This window comes from Homo sapiens, chromosome 7 (assembly GCF_000001405.40).
Source record: "Homo sapiens chromosome 7, GRCh38.p14 Primary Assembly".
In the NCBI taxonomy this organism is placed as follows: Eukaryota; Metazoa; Chordata; class Mammalia; order Primates; family Hominidae; genus Homo; species Homo sapiens.
The window spans coordinates 75,280,237-75,304,231 of NC_000007.14; the positions used below are offsets into that span (position 1 = coordinate 75,280,237).

General features: G+C 45.9%; 2 protein-coding genes and 1 pseudogene across 4 annotated transcripts in view; 2 read left to right on the forward strand and 1 right to left on the reverse strand.

Moving 5' to 3' along the window:
• The window catches only part of SPDYE14 (speedy/RINGO cell cycle regulator family member E14), an 80,225-nt gene that overhangs the window by 43,032 nt on the left and 13,198 nt on the right, over nucleotides 1-23,995 (forward strand). The gene's annotated exons all lie outside the window — the stretch shown is intronic.
• SPDYE13 (speedy/RINGO cell cycle regulator family member E13) lies at nucleotides 554-11,570 on the forward strand. 2 transcript variants are annotated; one of them, NM_001382563.2, is made up of 7 exons: nucleotides 554-1,136; nucleotides 2,132-2,350; nucleotides 3,383-3,441; nucleotides 4,669-4,754; nucleotides 6,460-6,703; nucleotides 6,826-6,930; nucleotides 7,784-9,265. In NM_001382563.2, exons 1-6 carry the CDS (start codon nucleotides 1,007-1,009, stop codon nucleotides 6,883-6,885), a joined length of 798 nt encoding a protein of 265 aa, NP_001369492.1. In that variant the 5' UTR covers nucleotides 554-1,006; the 3' UTR covers nucleotides 6,886-6,930; nucleotides 7,784-9,265. The 2 variants fall into 2 exon arrangements, with proteins under 2 accessions (NP_001369492.1, XP_047275733.1); XM_047419777.1 differs by having other exon boundaries at nucleotides 6,826-11,570.
• Nucleotides 16,317-19,570, reverse strand: PMS2P13 (PMS1 homolog 2, mismatch repair system component pseudogene 13; annotated as a pseudogene).

Consider the following 23,995-nt stretch of genomic DNA (forward strand, 5'->3'; position numbering starts at 1 on the left):
AGCCACTGTGCACAGCTGAGATTTTTCGACTTAGTCTTTTTGTACACCCAGTATCTTATAGAATATCCGTAATATAGATTCATAAATAAACCATTTCCTTCAATGGTATAAATAAATAAACCACTGCTATAAATGGTGGAATTTTCTGAGTTAAGAGCAATACATATGATACAAAACTTGATATATAGAGTTTCTTAGCCAAACTGGAGGGGCTGGCTTTAGGTGATCCGTGGACTCCCTGAAATTGGGGACACCATTGGAAATATGTGTGAACTCATGGGCAGTTTCCTATGATTTCCAGTCCTCAAAGTATCTCTTGGACTCAAAGATGCCTTAGGGCAGAGGACGCGTGTACCCCCAGTACAGAATCTCGGACAGTGAATGTCAGTAGACATTCGGCAGAAAACCTCTGCCAAATTGAGTGCTCTGATGTGACTTTTTCATCAAGTCAATGTTCCTGGGATCTCTTGTACATGATAATCTCACTCTTGTAAGGTTTCATCGTTTCTGCTTACCCTACTTTTCTTTCCCATCCTGATCCCTCTCCCACCAGACTGGACTCTGAAACGGGCATGTACAGAGAAGAGGAGACCCCAACACGCTTCAAGCTTTGAGTGGAGAGGACACAGCCTCTGCTGGGACAGGGAACAGAGGGATGCGGAGACCCTGAAGATGCTTTTGGACAGTGGTCTGAGGTTGGGACAGTGGCAGGAGATACCATTCACCCAGGATCTCCAGGACAAGAGATCAGCCTGGCAGTTACATGTGTTTTTTTTCAAACTGGTTGCCAGGTTGGCATGAGCGATGACATCAGAGATTCCGACCTTCCTGATTGGAGGGACCGGACTCTGTCGGCATCTGGGAGTTCAGTTGGACAACAGTAACTTCTCAGAGCTGTTCTCCACTCCTGACTTCTCCCAGCCTCGAGAATTGATAACACACTCTTCTGGATCCCAGCAGTGTCCAGAAGAAGACCAAGGACAGAACAGAGACTAGGTTTGGTGAGATGGGACAGATTTTGGGAAAGATCATGATGAGCCATCAACCGCAGCCCCAGGAAGAGCGGAGCCCCCAGCGGAGCACCTCAGGGTACCCCCTCCAGGAGGTGGTGGATGATGAAGTGTTGGGACCATCAGGTGAGGGGACTGGAGAAAGAAGAGGTGGCATAGGATTGACTAAGATGAAGGAAGGGGGCCAGGCGTGGTGGCTCACCCCTGTAACCCCAACACTTTGGGAGGCTGAGGCGGGCAGATCACCTGAGGTCAGGAGTTCAAGACCAGCCTGGCCAACATGGTGAAACCCCATCTCTACTAAAAGTACAAAAATTAGCCAGGCGGTAGTGGTGTGTGCCTATAATCCCAGCTACTTGGGAGGCTAAGACAGGAGAATCACTTGAGCCTGGGAGGAAGAGGTTGCAGTGAGCCGAGATCGTGCTACTGCACTCCAGTCTGGGTGACAGAGTGAGATGCTATCTCAAAAAAAAAAAAGAAGAAAAAAAAAAAAAGAAGAAAAAAAAGAAGGGTCAGAGGTCAGGAAGGAGAACCTGGGGAGGGTGTGTGGGAAGAATGGAGAAATTCAGGCTGGGTGCAGTGGCTCACACTTGTAATCCCAGCACTTTGGGAAGCCAAGGCAGGCGGATCACTTGAGGCCAGGAGTTTGAGACCAGCCTGGCCAACATGGTGAAACCCTGTCTCTATTAAAAGTACAAAATGGAGCTGGGCATTATGGCAGGCACCTGTAATCCCAGCTACCTGAGAGGCTGAGGCAGGAGAATAACTGGAATCCGGGAGATGCATGTTGCAGTGAGCTGAGATTGCACCACTACACTCCAGCCTGGGTGACAAAGCAAGATTCTGTCTCGAAACAAAAAAAAAAAAAAAAAAAGAGGGACTCAGAGAGCCAGGGACCAGGGAAGGATATGAGGCAGTGTTCTGAGGACAGAGAGAGGGAAGAATGGGGAGGGGAAGGAGTGGCACATGGGGTTGAGCAGAGGAGAAAGTCAGAAAGGTGGCTTGGAGAAGCCAGCAGTCTGCGAGGCTGGGGAGGATGGAGAGTGGTTTGGGGTTTGGGGTCGGGGTCTAACGTGATCAGTTGCAGAAGCATTACACGGTGGCCTGGTTTCTTTACTCAGCCCCTGGGGTAGATCCCAGCCCCCCACGTAGGTCCCTTGGCTGGAAAAGGAAGAGGGAATGTTTGGATGAATCTGATGATGAGCCAGAGAAGGAGCTCGCCCCTGAGCCTGAGGAGACCTGGGTGGCGGAGACGCTGTGTGGCCTCAAGATGAAGGCGAAGCGACGGCGAGTGTCGCTCGTGCTCCCTGAGTACTACGAGGCCTTCAACAGGCTGCTTGGTAGGAGGACACCCCAGAGAGCACCTCCAATCCTGTTCTTTCTAAAGAGGAAACTTCCAATAACCACACTTTTCCAATGGGAAAAATATGCCCCAGTGGGTGAGCTCTCCATGCGGGAGGACTCTGAAGTGATCACTCATGAGGGACACTTAGGAGACAACAGAGGATTAGGTAGACTTGATAAAGGTCGGTGCTTGGGATAAGAAAGCTTGGTTTTGGGCCAGGCGCTGTGGCTCCCGCCTGAGATCCCAGCACGTTGGGAGGCTGAGGCAAGAGGATTGCTTGAACTCAGGACTTTGAGGCTGCAGTGAGCTATGACTGCACCACTGCACTCCAGCCTGGGTGACAGAGCAAAACTCTGCGTCAAAAGAAAAACCAAGGCTGGGCACAGTAGCTCATCCCTGTAGTTCCAGCTACTCGGGAGGCTGAGACAGGAGAACTGCTTAAACCCAGGAGGCAGAGGTTGCAGTGAGCCAAGATCAGGCCAATGCATTCCAGCCTGGCCCACAGAGCAAGACTCTGTCTCAAAATAAATTAATAAATAAATAAAAATAAAAATCAAATAAAGAAAAACAAAATCAAAAATCAAAAAAGTGGTTTCAGCTGTGCCCTCTGAAACTTAATGTTTCTTACTGACTTTTCTAAACCTAAGTGTTTCCATCCATAGTGAGGGATACCAAGGCCATGGTCACACCCTGATGTGTGACTGTCTCATGAGGAAATGATGGGAATTCCTTTATGACTCTGCAGTGGTCCCTCCGTGTCTGCTGGAGGGGGTCCTGGCTGATTCCCAGCTCTACATCCTGTAGATTCTCACACCCAGGGCCTCCTTCGGCCTCTTCTCAGGGGAGTCTCAGAGCAGGAGCCTCTCTCCCTTGCCCAGTGAAAGTCATTCTCCCCTCTCTCATCCACCTCACCCGCGGCCACAATCCTGAGACTTTCCCCCGGGAGGCACACTTCTCCTCGCTGCCCTGCTGCTCTCACGGAAACCCTGTCCTGCTTCTCACACTGACATCTGCTCTCTAATCACAGAGGATCCTGTCATTAAAAGACTCCTGGCCTGGGACAAAGATCTGAGGGTGTCGGACAAGGTAAGGTTGTTCTCTATGTAACTGTGTTCCTGTTCTAACGCACGGCCAGGGGGAGGGCGCAGCTTCCAAACCCACAGTTCTCCGTCCACCACCTCCCACCAGATGCTCCTACAGTTTTTTTTTGTTTTTGTTTTTGTTTTTTTTTGTGAGACACAGTCTTGCTCTGCTGCCCAGGCTGGAGGGCAGTGTCTCGATCTTGACTCACTGCAGCTGATGCCTCCTGGGTTCAAGCGATTCTCCCACCTCAGCCTCCAAGCAGCTGGGATTACAAACATGAACCACCACGCCTGGCTAATTTTTGTGTTTTTAGTAGAGACGGGGTTTTGCCATGTTGGCCAGATTGGTCCCGAACACCTGACCTCAGGTGATCCACCCGCCTTGGCCTCCCAAAGTGCTGAGATTACAGACGTCAGCACTGTGTCTGACCAGCTCCCATGGTCTTGAGTCTTGGCACCCACACATTTTTTTTTCTGAGACAGAATCCAGCTCTGCTCCCCAGGATGGAGTACAGTGGCATGATCATAGCTCACTCTAATTCCTGGGCTCAAGCAATCCTCTTTCCTTAGCCTCCTGAGGAGCTGGGACTAGGCACATGCTACCATGCTCAACTAATTTTTGAAATCTTCTTAGAAACAGGGTCTCGCTGTGTTGCCCAGGTTGTTCTCCAACTGTTGGGCTCACATGATCCTCCTGTCTCCACCTCTCAAAAAGTACTGGGATCACAGGCTTGAGCTGCCACTCCCGGCTATTCTTTGTCTTTTTATGATTTGTCAGCATCTCCGTCAGGATTCTGCTGGTCTCTTGCAGAGTGAATGAGTGGCCCCTGCCTCTCCTATGGGTCCTTTGGGATCTGAGCCCTGGGCCACAGTCTGGCTGCAGCCCTGAAGCTCCTGGGCCCTCTACTCTCAGCTCCTTGGGACAGTTCTCTGCCTGGCACACAAAAGACCCTCCTGACACCAGCCGACCTAGACACACCCCCTCCAAAGATCCCATCGGAGCCCACCATCCTGGGAGCATCACCAAAAACCCTTCCTCCGGCTTCTCGGATTTGCATCCGACCTTCGAATACCCCTCCACCCCGCAATTTCCACATGAGCACAGTCACCCCAACACTGAGGTCCCTTCTCTGATGGGCAACCCCTCCCCAGACCCCCATTCCACTATATCCACAATCTTCCTCTCCCAAGATGTGACCTCTCCCTCTCTGTGTTCCTTTCTCTCCATCAGTATCTCCTGGCTATGGTCATAGCGTATTTCAGCCGGGCCGGCCTCCCCTCCTGGCAATACCAACGCATTCATTTCTTCCTGGCTCTGTGAGTGGTTTGCTGCCTCCTATCCGTCAATATCCAATGCCCTGGGACAGCGGGGGAAGTGGGATTCCAGCCTTTCATTTATTCTTTCACCTATTTGTCCTCTTTACTCTGTGTACAAAAAAGACAGGATTATAGTCTCAAAAAAAAAAAAAAAAAAAGAACAAAAAACAAAAGGAACCATGAACCGCTCCTAAGGGGAGAAGAAAAGGAGCGGAGGAGCGGACATGACACTTCCCCCAGCAAGCAGACGTTTCCGGTTGTTCTCTCTCCTTCCCACATCAACCGCAAAAGCCATCAGCCTCCTCCGGGTTCCCGTGACAGAGGTCACAGTCCAGGTCCCCCTTGCATCACTCGAATCCACTGTCAAATGCTCCCTGCTGGGGTTTCCTGGAGTCTCTCCCCAAGCCAGGGGGCTTCCTAGTGCAGCCTGAACATCTTTCCAAAGCACGACAACCTCACTGCCCACCTGAACAACTTCCTTAGCTGATGTCTTTCTCTATCGAGGCCAGGGTCCACAGTGCCAATTCCACCCTCTCTACAATCTCTACAACCACACTGGCTCGCCATCTTGGTGTTTCCTGGCTTGGCTTCACTGCTCCTTCCAAATGCCCTCCACTTGACTTTGCATTTGTGTTTTCTGTCTGGGTGTCCCGCACACATGTGGTTCTGAAGGGAAGGACCCATTCCTTGAAGTCGGTTCACCCCACAGCCTCTGTGATGCCTTCCCTCGTCTTCCAACTTCTGCATGCCCGTAGCTCTCCAGTTACATCCTATTATAATGTGACATTGGGATTAGGTCATCTCCCCTGATTACTCCCAGTCCCATTAGACTAGATGCCTGTAGAAGGCAGGGTCCTGGCAAAATATCAGTGTATTCAATTGCTTTTTTTTTTTTTTGAGACAGACTTGCCCTGTCCCCTAAGCTGGAGTGCAGTGGTGAGATCATAGCTCACCGCAGCCTCCATATCCTGGGCTCAAGCGATCCTCCCACCTCAGCCTCTTGATTAGCTCCGACTACAGGGCTGTACCACCACACCTGGACAGTTATTTATTTATTTATTTATTTATCAAGACAAGAGTGTTGCTGTGTCTCTCAGGCTGGAATGGAGGGGCCCAATCTTGGCTCACTGCAACCTCCGCCTCCTGGGTTCACACAATTCTTATGCTTCAGCCTCCTGAGTAGCTAGGACTAATGGGTGTGCCACCGCACCAGGCTGATTTTTGTATTTTTAGTATAGATGGGGTTTCTCTGTGTTGACCAGGCTGGTCTCAAACTCCTGGTCTCAAGCAATCCACCTGCTTCAGCCTTCCAAAGCGCTGGGATTACAGGCATGAGCCACCACGTCTGGCGTATTTTTTATATTTTTAATAGAGACGAGGGTCTTGCTATGTTGCCCAGGCCTGTCTCAAACTCCTGGCCTCAAGTGATCCTCCTGCTTCGGCCTCCCAGTGTGCTGGGATTCCAGGCATAAGCCACCACTCTTGGTCACCAGTTGGGTTTTTGTCTCCATCCTGAAGGAGTGGGAGACGCCCTTGATCAGGTCTCTGTCCAGCAGAGCCCTCCTGAGGAAGGCGTGGCTCTCTGCAGGGTGGGTGCCAGTCCTGAGCTAGGGACGGTCCCTTACCTTCCTCTCTGAGAAGCTGACCTCAGCCGGAGGTCTCTCCTGGTGGTGCCCCTGAGCAGCAACCTGATTTCTGTCCTCAGCTATCTGGCCAATGACATGGAGGAGGACGACGAGGCCCCCAAACAAAACATCTTCTACTTCCTGTACGAGGAGACCCGCTCTCATATACCCTTGCTCAGTGAGCTTTGGTTCCAGTTATGCCGTTACATGAACCCGAGGGCCAGGAAGAACTGCTCTCAGATAGCCTTGTTCCGGAAGTATCGGTTCCACTTCTTTTGTTCCATGCGCTGCAGGGCTTGGGTTTCCCTGGAGGAGTTGGAAGAGGTGGGTGGGGCCTGGGGACGTGGAGGATGTGGAGAGGAATCGGGTGGGCTGGAGGCTGGACGAGGGGAGAGAGGGGTATCCTGGGGAGTCCCCGTCTTCTCAAAGCGCGTTTGTTTTTCCAGATCCAGGCTTATGACCCAGAGCACTGGGTGTGGGCGCGAGATCGCGCCCACCTTTCCTAGAGCTCCAGGGACCGTGGAGGCCTGAGGTCATCGGCCTGAGAGAAGGTACATCTGCATCCTCCGGGGTAAAGGCAGAATATTGGGGTCTATTTCGGAAATCCAAGGAACCCAATTGCTTGATCTGGCTTCAAGCCTGGGCAACGTGGCGAGATCCCCTCTCCACAAAAATACAAAAATTAGCCAGGCGATGTGGGAGGCATCTCTACTCCCAACTACTCAGGAGGCTGAGGCGGGAGGATCGCTGGAGCCTGGGAGGTCGGGGCTGCAGGGAGCCCTGATCCTGCCACTGCACTCCAGCCCGGGCGACAGAGTGAGACCCTGCCTCAAAAATAATCATAAATACTGAGTTCGGGGAGGTTCATTATGATTGATGCACTTGAGTTACCGATTTGGGTCGAGGGTTCAGTGAAGCTTTGGTTTACATCTTGTGCAGCTAACCATGTTGAGCACAGAGCATGAGACTTCGTCATGAGGAGGGAGGATTATGGATTAGGCTTCTGGACTCGTGGTTCGTGATGTTGTCACGTTAGAAACAGATCTAGCACGGTTACAAGTTTAGATCTGAAGTGACACAAAAGGCCCCAGCTGTGATGAAGTCCAAAGCCACATTCTCTGAGGGTGCCCTACTCCCTGGGAAGACCCACCCAAAGTCCTGGCTATGAAGCAGATCACTGGGGCTGACCTTGGGTGTATTAAGTTTTGGAGTCAGGGTCACCAAAGTGTGAGTTTCACAGTTGAACACGATGGTTCAGAAGCAGGGTATAGAATGAAAGGCAGGAGATAAAATTGCACTTCTCAATTGCTCTGAACTCTAGCTAGACTTGACATGGGACGTGAATAACCTTCCTGTCTAGAGAGCTGCCTCCTTCAAGTGTGACATTGTCTCTCTCACTTCCAGAACACCGGACCCAGGGGAGATGTGGATTTTCAGCAGGAACTTTATTCCAATGCTAATGGCAGACATCAGGAAGGAGGAGAGGAACCATTTGTGCAGATCATCTAGAAGAACCTGGACCATTCTTGACAGAGCTGAATACAGTGATCACGTTGTCCTCCAAGGAGCAGGGGTGGGGTGGGGTACTTCTAGGAGTCCTTGGAGAAAAGTAAGAAACCAGGAGTGTTTCCAGTTCCACCCTTTCCTGCGGCACCACCTCCCTTTTTATATTGCTGAATGCCAACCTCCCTGGGGCGGAACCTGGAGGTCCTGTTTCTTATGGACTTGGTTGCCACAGTCCAGGAGCATTTGAAGGCACAGTGCAGGGGCTCAGATTGGCACAGAATTCTTTGTGAAATATGAGTGCCACAGACTGTAACAGATAGCTTCATGCACACTATGCATTTTATTGGTTTGTTTGGAAAATGTTGGCCATTGAATTATTAATAGGTTTATTTCAAATAGTTTGGAAATTGTTGTACTTTTGAAAACATGCTGTTCCTGTAGAGTTTTTTGATGAGAGTTATAGTTGTTATATATACCTAAAGATAATTTTCTTTTCATTTTTAAGTGAGAATTCTTTTTATCCTAAATCTTTTATTATCTTTAATTTTTTTTCTGTATTATTATATGTGCTCCTGAAGCGAGCACTCTTTTTATCTATGATACTTCCATAATAATCTCTTCTATTTATAGCTATTGGTAGTTCCCCACCAGAAAAAAACATAATTCTGGTGATAGAAATTTTTATTTGCTGTTTAGGTTTGTGACTGACTTGTGAGAATTCAGTTGTGATTTTTAACATGTCTCAGATATATATACTAACACGTCTAATATATACTATCTATTTTATTGGTTTATTTTGAAAAACATGGGTATAGAATTATTTAAATATTATTTTATTTACTGAAATATTTATTAAATATATTTATTTATTTAAATATTATTATTACTTTAAATATTATTTTAAATATTTTGGAAATACTGGTATTTTTGAATAGATGCTGTTTCTATAAAGCTGTGTGATGGGTATTATAACTGTTGTATACACATACATATAATTTTGTTTTCCTTTTTAAGAGAGGATTCTTTTCATCCTAAATCTTTTACCTTTCAATCTTTGTATCTATTATTACACGTGCTGCTGAAGGGAGCATGGTTTTTATCTATGATACTTAGTTAACATATATATTACATTTATAGCTATGTGGTAGTTCCCCTAAATTCTTGTAAAAATAAATTTTTATTTGATATTTAGTGTATGTTTGAAATGTGAGAATTCAGATGGAATTTTTTATCTTGTTTTGGCATGTTTGTATGTTACTTTAAAGAGGATGTGTGTTCTAAAGGAGGACATGAGCTGTGTGTTTTCAAGAGAACAGTGCAGTGCATCTCTTGGGGAAACATAATAAAGATGAACTTTTCTCACCTTCACAGTGAGTGTGATCATATTGTGGTCTGGATTGATTATTTGCTGTCAAGTGACATTTTTCCTTAATGGGGTTGTGGTTATTTGAACATATTTATTAGCTTTGGAAGATAATCCTGTGCTGTTTTTTATGTAGAAAAAAACATACGGCTGGGTGCAGTGCTCACACCTACAATCCCAGCAGTTTTGGAGGTCATGGCGGGAGGATCACTTGAAGCCTATTTTTAATTTTTATTTTTTAAAGAAAAACAACAGAAGAGAAGGCTGATCCCAAGCTACAGGGTTTTTTTGTTTGTTTGTTTGTTTGTTTGTTTTGGAGACAGTCTCGCTCTGTCTCCCAGGCTGGAGTGCAGTGGCACAACCTCGGCTCCCTGCAACTTTCACCTCCGCGTTCAAGCAAATTCTCCTGCCTCAGCCTCCCAAGTAGCTGGGACTACAGGCATCCGCCTGTACGTCTGACTAACTTTTGTAAAAATAGTAGAGACAAGGTTTCACCATGTTGGCCAGGCTGGTCTCAAACTCCTGACCTCAAGTGATCCACCCGCCTCAGTCTCCCAAAGTGCTGGGATTATAGGCATGAGCTACTGTGCCCAGACCCCAAGCTAGAGTTTTAAAGCAGGAAATGAGAGAAAGATATTGAGAGAGGAAAACCAGGTGGTAAGAAAACTCTAAAGGTGGCTGGGCGTGGTGGCTCACGCCTGTGATCCCAGCAGGAGTTCGAGACCAGGCAGGAGAATCACTAGCAGAGAATATGTCTCCCCAACCCCTCTCAAAAAAAAAAAAAAAGTCCAGGCGCGGTGGCTCAGGACTGTAATCCCAGCACTTTGGGAGGCTGAGGTGGGTGGATCATGAGGTCAGGAGATCAAGACCATCCTGGCTAATACGGTGAAACCCCATCTCTGCTAAAAATACAAAAAATTAGCTGGGCGCGGTGGCAGGCGCCTGTAGTCCCAGCTACTCCGGAGGCTGAGGCAGGAGAATGGTGTGAACCCAGGAGGCGGAGCCTGCAGTGAGCAGAGATCGCGCCACTGCACTCCAGCCTGGGTGAAAGCGCGAGACTCCATCACAAAAGAAAAAAAAAAAAAGAAAGTTCCTGCAACAGTTCAAGCTGTGAAAGACAGGCACTCTGCCATGCAATTCTTTGTGATTTTTCTTTTTTATTTTTGGAGTCGGGGTCTTGTGCTGTCACCCAGACTGGGGTGCAGTGGTGCGGTCATAGCTCACTGTGGGCTCAGACTCAAGCTCAAGCAATCTTCTTATCTTGCCTTTCTAATTGCTGGGATTATAAGCATGAGCCACTGCACCTGGCCTGTGTGACGTAATTCTGATGTCAACTCCCTGATGTTACATCAAATGCCACAGGTTAAGGCCACCAGCCCCCGCTAGGCTGCCCTCGCTTCAGATGCAGCTGCAAGCTTGGGTGTCCACAGACCGCATGTACTTCTCACCAACTGGCTGCAAATTTGGAGGTTCCCACCACGTCCTCAGGTTTGATAATTCACCATAACAACCCACAGAACTCTGAAAAGCATGATACTTTCTCTTTCTTTATTTGAGACAGAGTCTTGCTCTGTCACCCAGGCTGGAGTGCAGTGGCCACCATGCTTGGCTAATTTTAGTATTTGTATTAGAGACAGGGTTTCGCCATGTGGGCCAGGCTGGTCTTGAACTCCTGACCTCAGGTGATCCACCCACCTTGGCCTCCCAAAGTGCTGGGATTACAGGCATAGCCACTGTGCCTGGCTGACTTCTAGAGTTTCAATAACAGAGATGTGGTTCAAGAAGAAAAGGGAGACATGTTTTGTAGACAGCAGGAGCTTCATGAAAAGAAGCCAATGAAGGGCAGGATGTGTAGCTGTCTACCTACAGGAAACCAGCCAGGAGCCTCCCCACAGGGACTTCAGCACAGATGGCCGGGAAAATCTGCATTCACCTGAGCTCTGGACCTAAGAGAGGACAAGGCCTTGACTGTTTCTACAGACTCACAAGATGCAATCTCTGCGGTCCATGCCCGTGGTGTGATCTGGGAAACAGGGGGCCTTCTAAATGCCAACAACAAGGAAATCAAATGTGCAACAGACAGAAATATCGGCATTGACACGGGCCATGGAGAGGCCTAAACAGATGACTGCAGTCCACTGCCAAGGTCATCAAAGGGGTGACTCTGAAATAAGAAATTTCAGACGCCACGGCCCAAATAGCTGCACGAGGTGGGGAAGTCCTCCACATGCCTCTGCTTCCTTCAGTACCTCTTCATGAAATAAGCCGAGGTACTTCCCTGGGGAATTTCCTTTCTCTTTCTTTCTTTCGAGACGGAGTCTTGCTCTGTCGCCCAGGCTAGAGTGCAGTGGCGCGATCTCGGCTCACTGCAACCTCTCCCTCCCGGGTTTTGGCAATTCTTCTGTCTCAGACTTCTGAGTAGCTGAGATTACAGGTGTGTGCCACCATGCCCAGCTAATATTTGTATTTTTACTCGAGACAGGGTTTCACCATCTAGGCCAGGCTGGTCTTGAACTCCTGACCTCATGATCCACCCATCTTGGCCTCCCAAAGTCCTGGGATTACAGGCACGAGCCACCACACCCAGACTTCTTTTTTTATTTTTTGAGATGAAGTTTCGCTCTTGTTGCCCAGGCTGGAGTGCAATGGCGAGATCTCAGCTCACTGCCACCTCCTCCTCCTCCCAGGTTCAAGTGATTATCCTGCCTCAGCCTCCCGAGTAGCTGGGATTACAGGCACCCAACACCAAACCCCGCTGACTTTTTGTATTTTTAGTAGAGATGGAATGTCACCATGTTGGCCAGGATGGTCTTGAACCCCTGACCTCTAATGATCTACCCGAATTGGTCTCCCAAAATGCTGGGATTACAGGCGTGAGCCACTGTGCCCAGCCCCTCCCATACCTCTTTTGGCCAAGGCAGTACAATTCAGAGAATCTTGCCAGGGAAGACTGGTAAATGGACATCAACATGATGCCTATGGCTCCTGGTGGATTTAGATACCTCCTGGTGCTTACTGATACCTTTACCAGTTACATGGGGGCTTTTCCATGCCAGACTGAAAATGCTGGAGATCACTGATCAACCTTCAACTATTTACTAGCAGAACACTGAGGGGACTCTGCAGTCACCAATATCTCCTATTGCACTTGGATAAACACCTCCCGGGAAATAGAGATGAATAGAAAGGAAATACTTAAACAAGCAGAATGGCTACATTCCTTCAACCAGAAGGGTCCATTAGTCTGTTTTCACACTGCTATAAAGAACTACTGGAAACTGGGGAATTTATGAAGAAAAGAGGTTTAATTGACTCACAGTTTTGCAGGCTGTACAGGAAGCATGGCTGGGGAGCCCTCAAGAAACTGACAATCACGGCAGAAGGCGAAGGGGAAGCAGGCACGTTTCTGGCCATGGTGGAGCAGGAGAGACAGAGAGAGTGAAGCAGGAGGTGCTGCATGCTTCTAAACAACCAGATCCCATGAGCGCTCACTCACTATCACGAGACCAGCAAGGGGGACGTCAGCCGCCATGAGCCAATCATCTCCCACCAGGTCCCTCCCTCAACACTGGGAATTGCAATTGGACATGAGATTTGGTTGGGGATACAGAGCTGAACCATATCAAGGGTAGTTCAACCACTGAGATTGATTGATTGACTGAGATGGGGTCCTGCTCTGTTACCTAGGCTGGAGTGCAGTGGCACAATCTCGGCTCACTGCAACCTCCGCCTCCCAGGTTCAAGCAATTCTCCTGCCTCAGCCTCCCTAGTAGCTGGGACTACAGCACACGCCACCACACCTGGCTAATTTTTGTATTTTCAGTAGAGACGGGGTTTCACCATGTTTGCCCGGCTGGTCTTGAACTCCTGACCTCGTGATCACCCTGCCTCGGCTCTTCTTTTGCTGGAATTACAGGCGTGAGCCACCGCACCCGGACAACCACTGAGATTTAGAAGGCAGTCGAGTCCACTATACCACACCTCACCTGGTTTCTTCCTCTGTTGGGGCCCCTCGTGGCCACTGTTCTGTTACTTTTTGGTCCTATTTATTTAAATGGATGGTGAGCTGTTTGTCCTCCAGGATCCAACACTTCCACCTTCAGCTTGTATTACAACAATACCAGCCTTTCAAGCTACTCCGGGTGACCCCAGAACTCATCTGAACTCAGAAGCCCAAGAGTTTCATTCCTCTCACTTTAGGGGACTAAGTGCCCCTGGTCAGCATGAAGTCGATACAGAAGCATGACCTCCATCCCTAATCCCTCAAGAATGAGGAGTGGAAGGTGTTGGCAGGAGGGTGGGACGCGGTTTGTAAATCTGTAACTGCATCAGACCAAATCTAGTTCAACTTTTTTTTTTTTTGATGGAGTTTCACTCTTGTCACCCAGGCTGGAGTGCAATGGCACGATCTCAGCTCACTGCAACCTCCACGTCCTAGGTTCAAGCATTCTGCTGCCTCAGCCTCTGGGGTAGCTGGGATTACAAGGGTGCGCCACCACGCCTGGCTAATATTTATATTTTTAGTAGAGACGGGGTTTCACCATTTTGGCCAGGCTGGTCTTGAACTCCTCGACCTCAGGTGATCCACCTGCCTTGGCCTCCCAAAGTGCTGGGATTACAGGCGTGAGTCACCGCACCCGAATCAGTTCAACTTTTATGTAATGAAGTTGTCAGTTGTTTTCCAATTGCCATCGACCTGCAGGTTGAAGGTCATGTACCCTGTGCATGCCCAGGTTAACCACGCGTGCCACCGTGGAGTGGAACCTAAGAGCTCAGCCTGAAGAGCCCGGACCGATTTAAGAACCAGACACCCCCAGGCAGGAGCCAGGATCCAATCAGATTGAGTTTTGGTGTCACCCCATGGCAGGATCCAGTCAGATCACACCTCCCAGCATTACTTTATTGCAAGATCCAATCAAATCACACCTCATTACCCTATGCTTATAAAACCTGACACAGCCCCCAGCTGTGTAAGGGAGATTTGAGTACTTCCTCCTGTGTTCTTGCTGGCTGACTTACAAAAAAGCTTTAAAAAAAAAAGCCAGGCGTGGTGGCTCACGCCTGTAATCCCAGCACTTTGGGAGGCTGAGGTGGGCAGATCACTTGAGGTCAGGGGTGCAAGACCAGCCTGGCCAACATGGTGAAACCCCATCTCTACTAAAAATACAAAAATTAGCTGGGTGTGGTGACACACACCTATAATCCCAGCTACTTGGGAGGCTGAGGTAGGAGAATCACTTGAACCCAGGAGGCGGAGGTTGCAGTGAGCCAAGATCACACCACTGCACTCCAGCCTGGGCGACAGAGTGAGAAGACTCCGTCTAAAAAAAAAAGTTAAAATTAGCACCAAACGCTTTACAAGTAAAAAAAGTTTTTAGCTGCATATGTTTAAGTAACTTTTTAGATTATAAGAAATACGCATGCAAAATGGAAAGGCACAAAGAAGAGAGCAAAAAGTGCATGAGATCTCACATCCAAGGATAACCGCTGAGAACATGGAAGTGCTGACTCTTCAGTCTTTATACTATACACATTTAGGCCTGTTTTGTTTTTATAAAACTGTAATCATATAATACAGACAGTTTTATAATCTGCTTTTTAAACACAACAATTATATAACATTTAGCTGTTTCATTTGCATTCAAATTCATAAGGGTTCCAGTAACTCATTTATCAGAAAACCAAGAGAAATATTCTCATAAAAATATAAGTACATAAGGTCAGGCATGGTGGCTCACGCCTGTAATCCCAGCACTTTGAGAGGCCGAGGTGGGCGGATCACCTGAGGGCAGGAATTCGAGACCAGCCTGGCCAGCCTGGACAACATGGTGGAACCCCGTCTCCACTGAAAATACAAAAATTAGCCGGGCGTGGTGGCGCGCGCCTGTAATGGTAGCTACTCAGAAGGCTGAAGCAGGAGAATCGCTTGAACTTGGCAGGTGGAGGTTGCAGTGAACTGAGATCGCGCCACTGCACTGCAGCCAGGGCGCCAAAGTGAGACTCCATCTCAAAAAAAGATAAAAATAAAAAATAAAAAAAATGTATATATATGTATATATATTTTTCCAGACAGGGTCTTACTCTGTCTCACAGTCTGAAGTGTAGTGACGCAATCGTAGCTCACTGCAGTCTCAAGTTCCTGGGCTCAGGTGATCCTCCCACTTCAGCCTCCCAAGTAGCTGGAACTACAGGTGCATGCCACCATGCCCAGTCAATTTTTTTTTTAATTTTTCATAGAGACAGACTCTCACTATGTTTCCCAGTCCTAATAAACATTATGTGATAAAAAGAAAAAAGTAAATCATCCTGAAGTTAAGTCTTTAATGAGAAATGCAAATAAAGCATTTCTCAATAAATTATGGGAAGAGAATCAACTGAAGAATAAACATCTTTAGTAAATCTTTTGCTCATGTGCATTAACCAATACTCTTGAAAACCAGGATTAATTTACTGTACCTTCTTAATATTCCTTTGAAATTCCTTATGGCGCACAGGTAGCGTAGAAAATAACTGCTTCACGCTGACTGTGGTCCCTCTGGGGTGGGGGTAGGGGGTTTTCTGGATGATTTTCCCATCGTGATCAAAAACACCAGTCGAGTCCCAACCTTCGCCGATACGTGGCAGGTAGAAATGGTGACATCACTGTGAGAGAATACCAGGCATGGTGTGTTCAGTGAGAGATCCATGATGTTGGGCACTGACTACTCTTTTCTTCACTTGCTTTTCTCTCAAAATTTTCTTAAAAAGCTGATGATCCCTCTGAGATAACCGAGATCTAAACGGTTGAGGAGTCATCACAAAATCTAAGGTCTGGCATCTAAAAGACAGTGAGACAGAGAGCACTAAACATGCTTTGTTTTGATAAAAGCTTTGACTTCATTTTTCAGGTTGAATTGCAAAACCATAAATGATCTCAAGATTTATTGATTCTCAAATAGAGATTTGTTTTGTTATTACTCTTCAAACAAAATTTTTTAAAAGAATTTTTTTAAAGAATTTTTTAAAATTTTTAAAATTTTTTTTAAAGAATCCAAAAGATATTATAATTAAAATGTATATGTAGGGCAGGGTACGGTGGCTCATGCCTGTAATTCCAGCACTTTGGGAGGCCAAGGAGGGCAGATCACTTGAGGCCTGGAGTTCCAGACCAGCCTGGGTAACATGGCAAAACCCCATCTCTACTAAAAATACAAAAATTAGCCAGGAGTGGTGGTGCACGCTATAGTCCCAGCTCTTCAGGAGGCTGAGTCACGAAAGTCACTTGAACCTGGGAGGCAGAGACTGCAGTGAGCTGAGACTGTGCCACTGCACTCCAGCCTGGGTGACAGAGTGCGACTCTGTCTAAAAAAAAAAAAAAATATATATATATATATATATATATATATGTATATATATGTATATATATATGTATATATATGTATATATGTATATATGTATATATATGTATATATGTATATATATGTATATATATATGTATATATGTATATATGTATATATATATGTATATATGTATATATATGTATATATATGTGTGTGTGCATGTAATTATTTATAAAAATTTAGTATCTGTGCTGTAATTAAATAGTGCTTTGGTGAAATGTTTCCCTAAAAATTGATAATGAAAACCAATGGTAACTATCATTTATTATCTATATGTTATGTTCAAATTGAGAAGTTACTGTTTTAATAAGGGTAACCAATTTTTTAAACAATACTATTTGCTTCATTTCATTCATTTATTGCTCACATTTCAGAAGTACTAGGACTTAGATTGGCAGTGAGACAAAACAGAATTCAGAAGCTAGAAGCTGAGATATTGAGATAGAAAATTGTAAATAATAATGATTCCAATTAATTTTCAGAGAGGTTTTTCTAAGGGGTCAAGTGAATGGATAAAAATATTTTATCACCTCAGTGCACAAAGTGAGCTCAGAGCTTTCCCCCGAAAGCCAAAAGTTTCAACCCGAGTTAGGTCGGCAAACTCTTGAATCTTAGATGTGTGATGTTTCAGAGCTGAAAGAGACTGTAAAGTAAGGACTAAGATATCTCAAGTGCTATAACAACAAATATACATGATATCTAGTAACTGGCTTTAAAAAACTGTTTTTGTGTTTCCCAAGACAGTGTTACTCAAAATTCTAAGACATGTGGCCCAATTATTTTGTAATAGGATTAGAAAGTTAACTTACTTAAGCCTTCGAAGTTTTCTTCTTCTACCCCACATCCATTGCCTGAAACTTCAATGAGATCCATTCCATAGTCCTTAAGCTTTAGATCTAGAAAGTTTAAAATATTTATATATTTATTAAAAATGGACCCACGCTATCAGTTTTTATATTGATATTATTTATAACGTGCAAATTTAAGTGTCGTAACTATACCTTTAGTTAAACATACTAGTGTCATTTTGTATATTTCATTTTTATAAAGTTCTTTCTGGCCATTTACTAGCCCAGATTAAATAGTTTAGCATTTTCTTTCTTTCCTCTTTTTTTTTTTTTTTTCCTTACACTAGTCAAGTGAAGCAGTTGGAGTGGAGAAGGAACAAAAAAATCTGTAACTGGTTGTGATCAATTAGTTGTAAAGACCGTTGCACTTTGACCAGCCTTTTCCTTTGAAAGAAATAATTTTAACATACCCAGTAAGGAGAACGGGGGCCGGGCGCAGTGGTTCATGCCTGTAATCCCAGCACTTTGGGAGACCAAAGCGAGCGGATCACCTGAGGTCAGTAGTTCGAGACCAGCCTGACCAACGTAGAGAAACTCTATCTCTACTAAAAATACAAAATTAGCCAGGCGTGGTGGTGCATGCCTGTAATCCCAGCTACTTGTGAGGCTGAGGCAGGAGAATCGCTTGAACCTGGGAGGTGGAGGTTGCAGTGAGTTGAGATCGTGCCATTGCACCGCAGCCTCGGCAACAAGAGCAAAACTCTATCTCAAAAAAAAAAAAAAAGAAAAAAAAAACAGAACTGGTTCTGGAATCAGACTTCCTAGATTCTATTTTATTAGCTTTATAATCTCAAAAAAAGGAAATTTACTGTCCCTTAATTTCCTCAACTGTAAAATGGAGGTAATAAGTTCTATCTCATAAAGTTATTTGGCAGATTAATAATTTTTTTTTAATTTTGTCATTTTCTTTTTTTTCTTTCCTTTTTTTTTTTTTTTTTTTAATTTTTTGAGATGGACTTTTGCTCTTGTCACCCAGGCTGGAATGCAGTGGCACAATCGATCTTGGCTCACTGCAACCTCCACCTCCCAGGTTTAAGCAATTCTCCTCCCTCAGCCTTCTGAGGAGCTGAGATTACAGCCATGCACCATCACATCTGGCTAATTTTTGTATTTTTAGTAGAGACAGGGTTTTACCACGTTGGTTAGGCTGGTCTTGAACTCCTGACCTCAAAGCATCAGCCCCCCTCAGCCTCCCAAAGTGCTGGGATTACAGATGTGAGCCACTACTCCAGGATTTATTTTATTTTATTTTATTTTATTTTTTTGAGACAGAGTCTTGCTCTGTCCCCAGGCTGGCGTGCAGTGGCACAATCTCGGTTCACTGCAACCTCCACCTCCCAAATTTAAACAATTCTCATTCCTGAGCCTCCCCAGTAGCTGGGATTACAGGCTTCTGCCACCAGGTCTGGCTAATTTTTGTATTTTTAGTAGAGACAGAGTTTCACCATTTTGGACAGGCTGGTCTCGAATTCCTGACCTCAGGTATCCACCCGCCTTGGCCTCCCAAAGTGCTGGGATTACAGGCGTGAGCCACCACACCCGGCCTGCTTTATTTTTTAATAGAGACGAGGTCTCCCCATGTTGGCCAGGTTGGTCTTGAACTCTTGGCTTCAAGCAATCCCCCCACCTCAGCCTCTCAAAGGGCTAGGATTACAGGCGTCAGACACCACGCCCAGCTATTCTGCAAATTAAATGAGATATTTCTGTGCAATTCTTAGCATAACACCTGCCTGGCACACCATAAGAACACAAGAAAAGCTGTCGTTATTATTATTACTACCTAGCTAAGTACTAGGCACATAATAGGTGCTAACTTTAACTTAAAAATAATAGTTTATTACTACATCAACACTTGATAGTCTTATTTCAATAACAAATGTTTCTTGACTACAACAACATTCACTGATCATTTCTTGTGGCTTAAAACTCTCCCAAACTTACCAATATTAGTGGCACCAGCATCCAGACTGTTTCCTACTATCTTCTTCACCGCAGTGCTTAGACTCAGTACCACCGGCCCAGAGCAAATCTGATGGACTGACTTCCGATCAATAGGTTTGATGGCCTTAGCAGGTTCTGTACTAAAGAAATCAGTTACAAGAAACAAAGCAAGTATTCAGCTATATATTTTCATCCTGATTTTAACTGTGGGAAATGACTCAACACTGCAAATAGTTTATGGGTCTAATCTATTCATTTATTATATTAACAAATACATTTATTATATCCAGAAATGGAAACATTGTTTTACAATCCTTAAACAAGTACCCAAAATACTTCTGGATAGACACTTCAAATTCAACACATCCTTACTATCTAGTATCCACATGGAGAAAACATACATTGTATCTCTCAAATTACCAAAATCTTTGGCAATAATGGTGTCTTCTTTCTTGAAAACTGAAAGCATGGCCGGTGCGGTGGCTCATGCCTGTAATCCCAGCAATTTGGGACACAGAGGCAGGTGGATCACTTGAGATCAGGAGTTTGAGACCAGCCTGGCCAACGTCGTGAAACCCTGTCTCTACCAAAAATACAAAAAATTAGCCAGGCATGGTGGTGGGCGCCTGTAATCCCAGCTACTTGGGAGGCTGAGGCAGAAGAATCACTTAAACCTGGGAGGCGGAGGTTGCAGTGAGCTGAGATTGCAGCATTGCACCCTAGGCTGGGCAATGAGCAAAAAAAAAAAGTAAAAGCAACATAATTTCCCACATAATTAGAAAAACCAACAGTATGCTGGGAAATACACAATGTTTAAGTCAAAATCATCTCAGAAATTGGATACCAGTTATATAACTATTCCTTATACACAGTTGCCTTTGATACCCTACTCCAAATTGAAGCTGCCAGCTGCTGTCTTAGCAAAGACCCTCAAAGTTCTTGCTGTACTTGTTTTAAGAGGTTTTTTTTTTTTTTTTTTTTTGAGACGGATTCTTGCTCTGTCGCCCTGTCGCCCAGGCTGGAGTGCAGTGGCACGATCTTAGCTCACTGCAAGCTCTGCCTCCCGGGTTCACACCATTCTCCTGCCTCAGCCTCCTGAGTGGCTGGGACTACAGGCGCCCACCACCATGCCCAGCTAATTTTTTGTATTTTTAGTAGAGACAGGGTTCCACCGTTTTAGCCAGGATGGTCTCGATCTCCTGACTTCGTGATCCGCCCGCCTCAGCCTCCCAAAGTGCTGGGATTACAGGCGTGAGCCACCATGCCCAGCCCACTTTAAGAGTTTTATAACGGTTTCATTTCCCCTTATTCCCTGCTCCAACCCATCCTCCACTCTATCACCAGAGCTATTTTTGAAATCACGAATCTGGTCAAATAATTTTTCTGCTTGAAAAATTACTAGTGCCCCACTTCCTACTATATGAAACTTAAAATCTAGTCATCACTGGGCCCCAAACTACCTTCTTTTCAGAATCTCTCTGATCCTTTCCCTTCATCAAGTCCCCTACATTATTATTATTATTATTATTATTATTATTATTATTATTATTATTATTATTTGAGACAGAGTCTCACCCTGTCACCTGGGCTAGAGTGCAATGGCATGATCTCGGCTCACTGCAACCTCCACCTCCCAAGTTCAAGTGATTCTCCTGTCTCAGCCTCCCAAGTTGCTGGGATTATAGGCATCCACCATTACACTCAGCTAATTTTTGTGTTTTTAGTAGAGATGGGGTTTCACCATGTTGGCCAGGCTGGTTTCTAACTCCTGACCTCAGGTGATCTGCCCGCCTTGGCCTTCCAAAGCACTAGGATTACAGGTGTGAGCCACCGCAACTGGCCGTCCCCTATATTGCAGCACAGTGAACAACTGTTTCCTGAACATCACAAGCTCTCTTAGACACTACAGTGTATAAGCAGGTCTCTGTCTAAACTGCTCTCCTCTTGCCCCTCTGCCCAACCAATGTCTGCTCATCCAAAGAATGTATCCCGTGTGTTCATTAACTTAGCAAGTTCCCAGTAAACAGTTTAATTGATCACTCGTTAAGAGAAGGCGGGAAACCTCCATGAAAAGAGAAATCAGTGGGTATTTCCTACAGCATTTAACACATCGTAGGCCTTCAATAAACCCTTGTGAAATAAACAAACCTCTTTACTCTTCATTCTATGTTGCTAAGAATCTCACCTAAGTCTGTCTACCATGTGAAACTGCAGATGACCTCACAGAAAATGGAAAGAAGTATCTCTAAAAATAAGTTTATTTGGCAACACACTACAGGCTACAGGTTCACTTCTGATTTTTTTTCTTTTTTTTTTTGAGATGGAGTCTTGCTGTGTTTACCCAAGACATGTTTTAGACTGTAAATTGGAGGCTGAAAAACATCATAACATCACTTTTGCCCTACTCAATGACTATCCTGTTACTAAGGTTGGGCCAAAATTAAAGGGGGGGTCATAGGCCCCCACCTCTTTTTTTATTTTCAGACAGGGTCTCCCTCCGCTGTCCAGGCTGGAGTGCAGGGGCGCAATCATAGCTCACTGCAGCCTTGACCTCCCAGGCTCAAGCAATCCTCCTGCTTCAGCCTCCCAAGTAGCTGGGACATGGGCATGCATCATCACAGCTGGCTAATTAAAAACATTTTTTTTGTTGAGACGGAGTCTCGCTCTGTTGTCCAGGCTGGAGTGGAGTGGTGCGCTCTCGGCTCACTGCAACCTCTGCCTCCTGGGTTCAAGCAATTCTCCTGCCTCAGCCTCCTGAGTACCTGGGATTACAGGTGCCCAACACCACACCTGGCTAATTTTTTGTATTTTAGTAGAGACAGGATTTCACCATGTTGCCCAGGCTGGTCTCAAACTCCTCAGCTCAGGCAACCCGCCTGCCTTGGCCTCCCAAAGTGCTAGGATTACAGGCATGAGTGACCATGCCCAGCCTAAAAACTTTTTTTTAAGGGATGGGATCTTGCTAGGCTGCCCAGGCTGGTCTTGAAGTCCTGGCCTCAAGCAATCCTCCCACCTTGGCCTCCCAAAGTTCTAGGATTACAGGCGTGAGCCACCATGCCTGGCTGATCCTCACCTATTTTTTTGTTGTTGTTTGAGACAGGGTCTATCTCCATCTCCTCGGCTGGAGTGCAGTGGCTTGATCATGGCTCACTCCAGCCTCAACCTCCTGGGCTCAAGCAATGCTACCACTTCAGCCTCCCGAGTGGCTGCGACTACAGGTGTGCACCACCACACCCTGCTAATTTGTGTATTTTTTGTAGAGATGAGGTCTTGCTATGTTGCCCAGGCTAGTTTCAAACTCCTGGCCTCAGTCAATCCTCCCACCTTGGCCTCCCAAAGTGCTGGGATTATAGGTGTGAGCCACCACCTCTGGCCAGCTCCCACCTGTTGATCAAAGGAGCATCAAAGAATTTGCAGCCTCCAGAAGGAGGTCATTTCCTGCCTCTGAGTCTCAGTTTCCACATCTATGAAATAAAGTTAATGATCCTTCACTCCAGGGTTGTCGTGAAGGCTAAATTAAGTTGTATTTGGAAAAATATGTGGGGCACAGTAGGTGTGTTTCTCACACCCAGAGTCAGAGTGTTTAGCAGAGGGTTAGTAGTTGCCTCCAGGGCATGAAGGGCTCTTCCTGACCCTAAGTGTGAGGAACGCTTTGGGTTAAAAGATTGTACTTTTCTGCGTTCAGCTGAAAGGTGGAGGGCTCAGTGAGGTGGCTCACACCTGTAATTCCAATGCTTTGGGAGGCCAAGGTGGGAGGATCACTTGAGCCCAGGAGTTTGAGAGCAGCTTAAACAACACAGTAAGACCTTGTTTCTACACACACACACACACACACACACACACACACACACACACAATTAGCCAGGCGTGGTGGCATGCGCCTGTAGTTCCAGCTACTTGGGAGGCTGAGGTGGGTGGATTGCTTGAGGCAAGGAGTTTGAGACAAGCCTGGTCAACATAGTGACACCCCATCATCCCCCAAAATCATTTTTCTTTGTTTTAAGGCAGAGCCTCACTCTATTGCCCAGGCTGGAGTGCAGTGGTGTGATCTCACCTCCTTGCAACCTCTGCCTCCCGGGTTCAAGCGATTCTTGTGTCTCAGCCTCCTGAGTAGCTAGGATTACAGGTGTGCACCACCATGCCTGGATAATTTTTGTATTTTTAGCGGAGATGGGGTTTCGCCGTGTTGGTCAGGCTGGTCTTCAACTCCTGGCCTCAAGTGATCCGTCTGCCTTGGCCTCCCAAAGTGCTGGGATTACAGGTGTGAGCCACTGTGCCCAGCCACAATAAATCATTTTTTAAAGGTTAAATTTAACCTCATTTAAGTAATACATATAAGTCTCATCGAATAATTGAAGCCAGTTTGTGAGGTAAAGTCTATTATTATGTGCATTTTAATTCTTAGCGTTTAACTAAAGCCTCATAAGTACAAATAAAAACAGGACTTGCTATAACAGGTTGCCACCTATTTTCTTTAAAGATGACGAGCAGCATCTTATTTGCGTTAACACAAGTCATCCACATAACAAATATAGATAAGAAAAGTGGCCAGGTGTGGTGGCTCATGCCTCTAATCCT

Excerpts from the sequence above, each read along its gene's own strand:
- SPDYE13 (XM_047419777.1), top strand. The coding sequence starts at position 1,007 with ATGGGACAGATTTTGGGAAAGATCATGATGAGCCATCAACCGCAGCCC. Across the intron at positions 4,755-6,459 it reads ATTCATTTCTTCCTGGCTCT|CTATCTGGCCAATGACATGG; the intron begins GTGAGTGGTTTG and ends TTCTGTCCTCAG. Across the intron at positions 6,704-6,825 it reads CCCTGGAGGAGTTGGAAGAG|ATCCAGGCTTATGACCCAGA; the intron begins GTGGGTGGGGCC and ends TTGTTTTTCCAG.